The 12,328-nt window shown below is 44.7% G+C and overlaps 2 long non-coding RNA genes across 7 annotated transcripts in view; one reads left to right on the forward strand and one right to left on the reverse strand.

The window, feature by feature from the left end:
- Positions 1–12,328, forward strand: part of NCAL1 (NK cell activity associated lncRNA 1) — a 282,375-nt gene that overhangs the window by 208,858 nt on the left and 61,189 nt on the right. The gene's annotated exons all lie outside the window — the stretch shown is intronic.
- Positions 1–12,328, reverse strand: part of LOC101928214 (uncharacterized) — a 28,748-nt gene that overhangs the window by 7,356 nt on the left and 9,064 nt on the right. For 3 of the 6 annotated variants that reach the window (XR_007087128.1, XR_940326.3, XR_007087130.1), the window contains exon 3: positions 330–421. This is a non-coding gene — a long non-coding RNA (uncharacterized LOC101928214). Of the gene's footprint in view, positions 1–329; positions 422–2,208; positions 9,428–10,136; positions 10,823–12,328 lie in introns of those variants that run through there. The other 3 variants (XR_007087126.1, XR_007087127.1, XR_007087129.1) reach the window with 3 other exon arrangements.

Genomic DNA, 12,328 nt, shown 5'->3' on the forward strand with positions numbered 1-12,328 from the left:
CAGGCAGTTCATCTGAGGTCAGGAGTTCGAGACCAGTCTGGCCAACATGAAGAAACCCTATCTCTACTAAAAATACAAAAATTAGCTGGGCGTGGTGGTGGGCACTTGTAATCCCAGCTACTAGGGAGGCTGAGCCCAGACAATCACTTAAACCCGGGAGGTGGAGGTTGCAGTGAGCTGAGATTGCACCACTGCATTCCAGCCTGGGTGACAGAGCAAGACTCTGTCTCAAAAAAACCCAAACCCCACCCCCCCAAAACCCAAAACACATGGTAGCAAAATAATAACAAATTGAAGTATGTCTGTAATGACAGCAAATGGGAACTTACCTACTCCAAGACAGAAAATGATTAGATTAGATTTCTAAAAAGTCCAGGTAGGTCTTGCTTCCAAGATACCATCTAAGATGAAATCACACAGGCTGAAAATAAAGGAATGGAAAAATATACACTATTTAAATGCTAGCAATAGCAGACAGATTATAATAGGAGAGAGACTATATAATAATCAAGGCACCAACCGACTCAGAAGCTGTCACAGGCCCAAATGTATATGTATGTGTCTAACATACACGCACCTCAAAATATAGTAAGCAAATTGACAGAACTACAAGTCTAAGATTACAACCCATTTAACTTGATCAAAAGTTGATAAATCAAGCAATTTAAAAAGTACTAGGTTATAAAAGATTTGAAAAACAAAAGTAACAAGCATTATCTAATGGGTGTGTGTGTGTAAAACTTTGCGGCCAAACATAAATGGTCATCATAGATCATTTAAAAACAGTTGGTGATATACAGATTATTTAAAAATTTGACCACATACTAGGTCACAAAGAACTCAACAAATATCTAGAATCATCAAATAACACAGATCATATTCTCTAAACACAACCCAATTAAATTAGAAGTCAATACTAAAATACAGTCTCAAACTCATATATGTGGGAACTAAAAAATTCACTCCCTAGTAACTAATAGGCTGAAGAAGAAATTACAACAGAAATTTGAGGAGTTTGAGACCAGCCTGGGCAACAATGCAAAACCCTGTTTCTACAAAAAATTAGCCAGGTGTGGTGGTGGGTGCCTGTGGTCCCAGCTACTTGGGAGACTGAGTTGGGAGGACTGCTTGATCCCAGGAGGTGGAGGTTGCAGTGAGCCATTATCATGCCATTACACTCCAGCCTGGGCCACAGAGTGAGACCTTGTTGAAAAAAGAAAGAATATCTAGAGGTAAATTTATAGTCTGACATGAATTTATTTCAAAATCATGAGAGGTTTAAGCGAGCTGAGTGCTCAAAATAGCAATTGTAAGGAACTTCCTTAATGTGATAAAGGTTATCTATCAAAAGTGTATAGTAAACATTATAATTAATGGTGAAACTTTGGAAGCATGCCCATCAATATCAGTAACAAGACAAGGATGTCCATTGTCAATATGTCTATTCATCAGTATCCTGGAAGCCGTACTGAGGGCAATGAAACAAGCAAAAGAAATAGGAGTATAAGAATTTAGAATGAAGCAAGAATATTTTTATCTGCAGGAAATATGATAATCTATATAGAAAATTCAAGAGAATTTTCTAATAAACTATTCAAATGAAAATACAGTCCAACGAATATATATACACAAAATTGGGTACAATTTATATGTATTAATTATAACCAATTAGAAAATATAACAGGAGAATGAGTCTTATATTTCAACTAAAGCTATAAGATCTTTCTGCATACATTAAACAAAATATGTGCACGTTGCTTGGTTTTGATTTTTCTTGGTTCATTTGGCTGGTTTTAGAGGAAACTTGGAAATACACCTGAGGGACATGAAAGAAAATATTAGTGAGTGGAGTGATTCACCACATTCTTAAATGGAAAAACTAGTGTTGATTTAAGAAAGATGTCAGGCCGGGCGCGGTGGCTCACGCCTGTAATCCCAGCACTTTGGGAGGCCGAGGCAGGCGGATCACAAGATCAGGAGTTCAAGACCAGCCTGGCCAACATATTGAAACCCCGTCTCTATTAAAAATAAAAAAATTAGCTTGGCTTGGTGGCGGGCACCTGTAATCCCAGCTACTCGGGAGGCTGAGGCAGGAGAATCGCTTGAACCTGGGAGGCGGAGTTTGCAGTGAGCCAAGATTGCGCCATTGCACTCCAGCCTGGGTGACAGTGTGAGACTCCATCTCAAAAAAAAAAAAAAAAAAAAGGAAGGAAAGATGTCAATATCATCTCCTAATTATTCTTTAAATTCACTACAATTCTATCCAAAATCTTGAAGGGGATTTTTTTGTGTGTGAAATTTGACAAGCTGATAATCATCAAGACTAATTATACATTTATAATACTTAACATAGTACAATATCGATATATAGATAGTGAATAGATCAATAGAAAATTAGAGAACTCAGAAACTGACCTATGCATCTGTGGAAATTTCATATATAACGGAAGAGTCATTACAGATTAGTAAAAAGAAGGGGTGGGCTCGTTCAAGAAATAACTTAGGAAAAATAGGTTATCCATACAAGAATAATAAAATTAGATCCTTATATCAACGCACATGTAAAAACAAATCCTTGGTTGATTACATACCTAAGTGTAAAAAGCAACAACTTCAAATAATTTAGAAGAAGATGTAGAAGACTATCTTTATGAACTCAGAGTAAGAAATTATTTTCTTAAACTATATACAAAAAGACCCTTAATGCAAAAATTAACAGACTATTTGGTTTAGTAAGCAGGATTGTATTTTAAAATTTTTAAATTATTCATAAAAAATGTTAAATGTCAAGCCAGAAACCAGTATTTGCAATGCAGTCATATAATTGACAAAGGCCAGAATCCAGAATACATGAACACTGGCAAGTCAATGGAAAAAATGACCAAAAGACATGAACAAGTTATGGATGAAGGCAGCTCAAAGGGCAAATGAGCATTTGACTAGATGATTACCTCTTAGTAATCAGAGAAATAAGCAAACAAAAAAGTATGCCACCTGTGTATTAGGGTTCTCCAGTGAAATAAAACAAATAGGATTTACATGTATATAGAAAGAGATTTGTTTTAAGAAATTAACTTCCATGATTATGAAAGTTAATATCTCTTCCATGATTATGGAAGCTGGTAAGTCCAAAATCTGCATGCTGGGCTGGCAGGCTGGAGACCCGGAGAGAAGACAATGCTACAGCTCAAGTCAAAAGGCCATCAGGCTGAAGACCCCAGGAAGAGCTGATGTTGCAGGTGAAGTCCCAAGAACAGTTTGCTGGAGAATTTCCTCTTGTTCAGGGAGCTCAGCCTTTTACTCTATTCAGGCCTTCAACTGACTGGACGAAGCCTGCCCAGGCTCTGGAAGGCAATCTGCTTTACTGAAAGCCCACCAATTTCAATGTAAATCCCCATCAGAAACACCCTCACAGAAACATTCCGGCCAAGTTGACACTCAAAATCAACTACAGAACCTCCAACACATCAGACTGGCCAAAACATTTGTCTGCCACTACCAAGTGTTGACACAAAAGGCAAACATAAGAAACTCATACTGGGCTGGTGAGGATGTAGAGCATGGATCCAGACTGGAGAACCTCTCACACATGTGCACAAATATTCACTGCATCATTATCTGTAGTGAAAAATTGAAAAGGAACTGAAAAACAATCAGCAGAAAATAGACAAATTAATTCTGATAAGGTTCATATGACTGAGTATTATACAGCAGTTAAAGGAGTTAGAGCAACAGGTATCTGCATGGATAAATCTAAAAACAATCATGAGTTTCAGGAAGATAGATACAACAGGACAGATTTCCATAAAATGGAAAACTTACAAACCAATACTTTATATTACTTAGGAATGAATACTGTAGGAAAATCTAAAAAACAGGCTTGAGATTAATACACAGTAAATTTAAGGTTGTGGCATCTCTGAGGAGTAGGGAAAGGGAATGAGATCAAGGAGGCCTTCATCTGTGTCTGTAATGTTTTATGTGTTTTTTTCTAAAGGCTTGAAACAAATATGGCAAAATATTAAGATCTGATAAAGCCATGTGGGCGTATGACATTTGTTATATTTCTCTCTATCCTTATTCATGTGTTTAAATAATTCTCCGAAAGCAGTTTACTGAGAGTTCAGCATGTCTCCTGAGACATGCTAGGAAGTTATGTGCAGGAGTGGAGAATATGATTCATTGGAAGAGTTAAGTGCCCTAAATGCCAGCCAGGCTGTGACCCCAGGACAGAAGTAGGGTGGGGGGGCCTTCTTGCTTGCTAGTGACAATCTACACCAACCAGCACCACAGGAGCCCCAGGATGACAAGGAAGGACAAAACACAGGGGGTGACAGATGCAATGAACCCCTATGTGGTACATTGAGTGGTGGAGACCGGGTGTAAAACACACGATCGGTGCAGGGAGACCAGCTATGGAGGCTTTGGGGACCATGATAATGACCATCCAGTGTGGCTGTACTTTTCTCTAGAAGAGGGTTGGCCTACATCCACTCCAGTGGATCCACATTCTCTCCCAAGAGACTGATAAGAGAGTGAAAGATTTAAGTCACCTGTGTGGGTGGCCCTCAAGACCCCTGCAATGAAAACCCAAAGGGGTATCACAGTGTTTTCTGGCAAGAATTGGCCATTGCTTAATTTTCTTGTCTGATTTTTCCTAGCAACCTTGTATTTGACCTCGCCTGGCATCCTGTGTGGTCATGAGCCACAGAGGTGGAAAAGGCAACATGGTAGAGGCAGGAGGAGGCAGGAGGTGGAAAAGAAGGGTTATCAGGTGATGAGTTCAGCCATCTCTTGCCCTGAGTTTAGTTGTGCTTTGTTTATAAAAAGTGCTTTTCTACAAAAAGTATTTGATGGTACAAAATATTATCAATATGGCTTAGATGGGTTTGAGAAGTAAGAAAAGGATCGTGGTGGTAGCAGGAAATAAGACAGAAATTTTCCATGGGGGCTCCAGGTCTGAAGGCACTGGCAGGTACTGCAGGGTGCCTCAAGCAGGCGTCACTTGATAGGGTCAAAAATCAGTAATGTCTATGCTCATCTCCAACCTCTGCAGATAGAGGAGGAAATGTTGTGAAGTATTTAGATGCATTTTCTTAGGTGCGTTGTTTTTGTTGAATTAGGACATGAAGCCAGCCACAGCCAGCTGTCTCTCCCCTTCGGTGAGAAGGGGACGACGTGAAGCACCCAAGATGTGAACCAGGACTCAATTCACATTTGGGGAACCTGATAGCCTCCTCAGATGCCCCCACAGAAATCCAGATTGACCCCTGAGGCTGAGCTTTACCCTCTGCAGGGATGACTTCCATCCAGCCTGGGATGGGCAGGGGAAACCGCTGCTCACCCGAAGTGTATTTAAGGGGTCCCAACAGCAACTTATCAACATTTTTTGTTGTAAAGCACAGAGAGAGCAGTGAATTCTGTCCATTTTGTGAGCAGCACATCTGGATAAGGCGGGTGCCCCACTGCATTCAGAGCAGCTCTGGGAATGAGGAAGGAAGAGACAACAAAAGGAACAGGAGCCTTCCAATAAGCCCAGACATTAGACCTGAGCCTTGTCCCTGTCATAGGCTAGTCATTATTGATTAAAAGGTGGACATCAGATAAACCCAAGAGGGACAGCCCCGCCAACGTCCAGAGCAATGAGGCCCTCACTCTGCCCTCACCTCTGCCAGTGTAAATTCTGGGGAATTTCTGAAACACCGTGAATACAGAGGTGTGACTCAGCGGGAATCACAGGAATGTCAGAGGACAAAGCAGTTGGTATTAATAAATTGCTTTGAGTCTGGAAACAAAGAAGTGGCCTTCTTTGTTTCCAGGCTGAAGTACAGTGCTGTGATCATAGCTCACTGTAACCTCGAACTCCTGGCCTAAAATGATCCTCCTGCCTCAGCCTCCCAAAGCACTGGGAATACAGGCATGAGACACCATGCCTGGCCTGGCCTTCAGTTTCTCTGCTCTAACTCTGCGTTGCCCTAGAAATCCTTTTCTGAATTTCTCAGGTATTAGACATTCACCCATGACATCTGCATCTTTCTCATCTTCACCAGAATCACCCTGTCTTAATTCCTTAACTCTTCCTGCTTCTTGCCAGGCTAAGAAGCTGTATTAGTTATCTATTGCTGTGTAACATGTCACCCTAAAACGTGGCAGCTTAAAACAAATGTGTGTTATCTCACACTTTCTGTGAGTCAGGAATATGGACACGGCTTAGCTGAATGCTTGTAACTCAAGGCTGCTCATGAGGCTGCAGTCAAGCTGTCACCTGAGGCTTTGGTCTTATCTGAAGGTTGACTGGCATGGGGGCATCTGTTTCCAAGCTCACTCATGTGGTTCTGTCCCTCCCCACCTAGGCATCTCCACAGGCTGCCTTGTGACATGTGGCTGGTTACCCTGGGGTCGTGTGACTCTAGAGAGAGTAGGACAGAGGACCCAAAATGGAAGCCACAGTGCTTTTTATAACCTATGAAGATGTGACATCTCATTACTTCTGCCCTATTCTAGTCATAGAAGCAAGTTACTTAGAATGATCCACACCGACAGGGAAAGGATGACATGAGGGTGAGGATACAGGGAGAGTGGGGGTCACTGGGGCCCATCTTAGAGGCTGCCTACCACAGAATCCCTAATTATTTCTCTGAAAATAAAAGGAGGAGAAAGAGACACCATATTCTACATTTCTGCTCACCTCTGTGGTGGGGCTGATGTGCATGGTTTTCATGGCTTAAAAGCACACTCCATCTCACTGGGGGTTTCCCAAATGGTCATATGAAGAGAGGAATTGCTCCCCAGAACCGCTGGGGCACCTCATTTCGTTGATGCTTTTTCTTCCTCTCCACGGAGATGCTCTGGGTAGAAGGAATGAAGCCTTCAAGGTGGACTCTGGAGGGCTCTCCCAGAGGCTTCTGTCTGAACCAGTGGGCTTAAAAATGAGCAAGGGAGAACCTTCATGAAAATCACTGTCAAGTACTGTCTCAGTTTGCTCCAGCTGCTGTAACAGAATACCATAGACTGGGTGGCTTGTGAGCAATAGAAATTAATTTCTTGCAGTTCTGGAGTCTGGGAAGTCCAAATTGAGGTGCTGGCAGATTCTGTGTCTGGTGAGGGCCCACTTCCTGGTTCATAGACAGCCTACTCCTCGCTGTGTCCTCACCTGAAGGAAGGGGCAAGGCAGCTCTTTAGTGTCTCTTTTATGATAGTACTAATCTTATTTGTGAGGGCTCCACTGTCATGACCCGAGCACCTCCCAAAGGTCCCACCTCCAGGTATCATCCCACTGGGGATCAGGCTTCAACACATGAACTTGAAGACAAACATTTGGTCTATAGCAAACACCCACCATATACCAAGCCCCGTGCTTCTCTGGGCTTGGGGGTGCTGGGATACCAAGGTAAATTAAGCCTGGGCTCCATGGCAAGCTGGTGTGATGGTTGAGAGAAGGTCTAAGGGGTCAGTAAGGGGTTCTTGCCTGGCACGGTGGCTCATGCCTGTAATCCTAGCACTTTGGGAGGCTGAGGTGGGCCGATCACGAGGTCAGGAGTTCGAGACCAACCTGGCCAGCATGGTGAAACCCCATCTCTACTAAAAATACAAAAAAGTAGCCGGGCATGGTGGCATGCACCTGTAATCCCAGCACTTTGGGAGGCCAAGGCGGGTGGATCACGAGGTCAGGAGTTCGAGACCAGCCTGGCCAACATAGTGAAACCCCGTCTCTACTAAAAATACAAAAAAGTAGCCAGGCATGGTGGCACGTGCCTGTAATCCCAGCTACTCGGGAGGCTGAGGCAGGAGAATTGCTTGAACTCGGGAGGTGGAGGTTGCAGTGAGCCGATCATGCCACTGCACTCCAGCCTGGATGACAGAACGAGACTCCGTCTCAAAAACTAAAATAAAATAAGGGGTTCTCATCCTAGTGCTATTCTCAGCTGAGTGACTTTGGGAGAGTGACTTGACCTTCATGAGCCTCAGTGTTCAAAGGATCTTTATGATTATGTTTGTGAAGCCCTCCGAGTCACCTCTGAGTCTGAGCATCCATCTAGGTGCTCCATCAGCAGTAGGTATTCCCAGTGCTATTGCAGAGAAACTCTCTAAACCCACCTCTCAAACTGGGCCAGCCTGGAGACTGGACCCAGTGGGTCTGGATGCTGACTTGAGCACACATGTACCTCGGCTCCTCAGGAAACTCTCATGCACCCCAGTGGCTGGGAGCCACTGGTCTAGAGAGTGAGCTGCATCAAGGAATGGTGGCACGTGGGAATGTGAGCAGGTGCAGGTGGACACTGGGCCAAGGTGGGGCGTGTCTGGACTCAGGGCCTCGTTGGCCAACTCTCCTAGGACTTAAGAAGGGAGAGGAGCCCAGATAGAGGAGCCAGTTTTTTTTTTATTTCCAACTTTTATTTTAGGTTCAAGGGGTAGGTGTGCAGGTTTGTTACATGAGTAAATTGCATATCATGGGGTTTTGGTATACAAATAATTTTGTCACCCAGGTAATCAGCGTAATACCCAATAGGTAGTTTTTCTGTCTTCACCCTCCTCCCATCCTCCCCCACCAGGAGTCCCCAGTGTCCTCTGCTCCCATCTTTATGTCCATGTCTACTCAATGTTGAGCCCCCACTTATAAGTAAGAACATGCAGTATTTAGTTTTCTGTTCCTGCGTTAATTTGTTTAGGGTAATGGCCTCCAGCTCTATCCATGTTGCTGTAATGGACATGATTTCATTCGTTTCTGTGGCTGCACAGTATTCCATGTTGTATATGCACCACATTTTCTTTATGCAATCCACCATCGATGGGCATCTAGGTCTTTGCTATTGTAAACAGTGCTGTGATGAATATATGCCTGTGTGTGTCTTTATGGTAGAATATTTTGTATTCCTTTGGGCATATACCCAGTAAATGGGATTGCTAGGTCAAATGGTAGTTCTAGTTTAAGTTATTTGAGAACTCTCCAGACAGCTTTCCACAGTGGCTGAACTAACTTACATTCTCACCAGCAGTGTAGAAGCATTGAGGGGCCAGTTTTAAATCCTAGTCCCTTCCTGATGCTTTATTCATGCTTTATTCCTGCCTCCTGTCACCCGTCTTAGGGATGATTCACCCAGTCCCTTGCTCCTGGCTGGAAAAACCTTTTAAGGAAAAGTCGCTAATCTGGGTACATCTAGACTTAGCTTTGCCCGTGGAAAGTCTCTTGCTTTTCACAGCCATTTGCTACCCACCCTGCACCTCCCCACACCCCTCAGACTTCATGCTTGAGTCCTGTTTACCAAATGATGGGATCCTGTTTTGTCACCTCAGTCCCCTCTGAGGGGCAGTCAGCTGGCTGGAGCAGGAGGCTGCTCAATCCCACGCTGCAGGCTCCTGCACAAGGTCAGATGTGCAGGCCATCATGAAGTGAGTGTCGAGGGTGGTGTCATCCTGAAGGTTAACACTGTAGCGGGGAGAGCATGGGGTTGCGTGTCCCTCTCCCTCCTTGTGCAATAACTATCGTGGGTAATTCTTTTATCGTCTTTTAGATAATTTTTACATCCACAAATCAGAAAAGGAATGAGAATCAAACAAAGTAATACATGTGGAAGAACTCAGAGAACAGTGTCATTCTATAGCAACAATCAACACAGAGCCTCTGCTAAGTGTCAGGCCACATTCTGAGCACAGCGGAGACAGGATTGAGCAAAGCCACCACAGAGTTCACATTATAAAAATGAAACAAATGAATGACAAGTGTCACACGGGGTAACAAGCACGATAGGGGAGACAGAATGAGGAGAGCATGTTTAACAGTAAGAGGTTCGGGAAGGAAGCCGGCCCAGACCTGAGTGAAATTAGCCATGCCTGTGCCCGGGGGAAGCAGGTGCCAGCAGGAGGAACACCGAGCCCAGCCTCCTGAGGTGGAGGGCATGGGGCATGGTAACAGGCTGCACAGGAGCTCTGCTCTGGAGCACGCGATCCGGGCACAACCAAGAGCATTGGTGGCACCACTTGAACACTTGCAGCCAGCTCATGACAGCATTTAAAGTGTCTTTGCTGATTTGTTGAAAACAAGATGTAAAAATCACTCAGTGAGAAGGTGGTATAGACCATCAGCCTAACTCCAATCCTGCTCGGGCTTCACCTCCCACCTCCCGGCTCACGTGCCCTCGCAGCAAACTTCTCATTGCTCCTCAATTTATCTCCAGCCCCAGTTCCTCTGTTGAATATCTTCTGCCCCATCATTGCCCCTGTTTTCTAAGAACCAGCTCAAACATCACCACCTCGGTGGAGATTCCCTCCTCCTGGGGTTCACCCAGGAAACTCCAACCAGGAAGCAGGAGGTGGGATTCCTTGGATGAAGAAGAGGTGAGTGAGTCCCCCTATGATGTGAGCTAGTGAAGGGTTGTCATCAGCTCAGAGTCATTCCAAAATACTCTTAATACATTTCTGTTTTCATTGTATCTTTAGGAATTAGTGGCGATGTTTATGCCATTGCAGAAAAAAAAAGAATGATGCTCCATTTCACAGCTTACAGAGCTGGTTTCACATACACTTGAATGGTCCAGCTATTTCTGACAGCTACAAAACACAGGCGCACACACCACCTTGCCTTCTGGGAAGCTGTAGGAGACACATTACCTCTTGACAGGATAAACAGCCACACATTAGAGGGTAAAGGCAGGGCAAGCTTCACCCCAGCACCTCCTAACCTGGCACAGGCTTGACCACATGCTACTTCAATGACTTCTTTTTGAGATCAAACACCTGCCCAGCACCCCAGTCTCCTGACTTCTTGCTTGGAGCCTGCATCTCAGCTTCCTCAGCAGCAATGAAAAAGGAAGCCAACCCCGACCTGTAGAAATAGTGTATTTCCTCAATTCCAAGGCACACAATTGTTCAAATTTTAATTATTCTGAAATCAGGATGTGTCTTACAATTAGTCGGTACACTACATGTGGGGTTTCTTTTTTCTTTCGTTTTTGTTCACCCCCTACAAGCTGTTCTTAAAACAATGGTGTGTCATACAATTGATGACATCTTAGAATCAAATAAAATAATAGTTAAAATCATGGGGTGGCAATTTAAGGTCCACCCGTGTCAGACTTCTCGAAGTCATTGTGAAACTGTGTTTTGTTCTGCTTTGAATGTCTGGTGGTGTGAACCCAGAGAGACTGGATTCCTAGATCCCTGAGGCCTCCTGGCCGAGCCAGGAGCATGGGGCAGACAAAGGGCAAAGCATGGTCCCTACCGACTTGTCAGGCCTGCCAGCCCTGCCACTGGCTTTGTGATTTTCATTCCTGAATTCATAGAGATGGCTGCCAGCAACGAGAGGTAATCTCAGGACACACAGGCCTGGGCTAGGCCTTGGAATATTCCGGAAGTCGGTGGCCAGAGTTGTATCAAGCCAGACGGGACACATATGGGAATACAATTACAGCAAAGCCTGCAAGGCTCAGTGAGGGGCAGAGGGCCTGGCCACATGAGGAGCCAGTGCTGTGGGCAGGCCTGGGTCTGAGTGCCAGCTGTGTGTCCTGCACAACCACATCTCCCAGAGTGCATTCGTCACCATCCACTCCAGATGCCCCTTGAACAAATGAATTTCACAGTTGCAAAAGGCTGAAAAATGCTCTGTGACCTGGCACCCCCTTGGGGAACCACAGTGCATTAAAGGCTCTGAGAAGTCCTGCAGTAAAGAAACCTGATGAACTTTTGTTTAAGTTAATGTTTTCCAAACTTCTTTGATCACAGAATCCTTTTATTCCAGTAACACCTTTTACAATCTTAAGATGTGAATTTTCTGCAGAACAGCCACCTGGGAACAGGCCTGTCTTGTGCAGAAGCCTGAGGGACTGGGAGCCAATCTCATCACTCCCTCACTTGATTATGGAAAGATGAAAACAGAGAGTGGAGAAATGAAGGGTAAGACCAGGGAAGAGATTCTCTCTGGGGTCCCAAAACATGGCCCTGGCTATGGACATACTTGGGGGTGGGGGGATCCACTTGCCTGCTGGCCTCTTTTGGGCAGTTGGTATTGGTTGCCCGGGTATCCCCGGGGCAGTAGCTGCAGCAGTGGCCTGATGGGTGTGCAAGCAGCTAGCTGGTGTGTCCAGCACGGTCTTGGCACACCTGGTTGTTTTGGAAAGGTCTTTTCTTGAACAGGAACTTGCATACTCAAAAACAACAGCAAAACACAAGGCCACACTCACCCCCCAAGGGTAAGTCCGTGGCTCCTCCTGCACACCCAGGAAAGATCCCGTGGAAACACAGCACCGGAGGATATGGGATAAGAGACAACAGAGAGGAGTGGTGCTTCCTGAATTTAGGAAACATAGCTGCTACTTTGGGCCCTCTAGATACT

Source organism: Homo sapiens, chromosome 2, assembly GCF_000001405.40.
Source record: "Homo sapiens chromosome 2, GRCh38.p14 Primary Assembly".
In the NCBI taxonomy this organism is placed as follows: domain Eukaryota; kingdom Metazoa; phylum Chordata; class Mammalia; order Primates; family Hominidae; genus Homo; species Homo sapiens.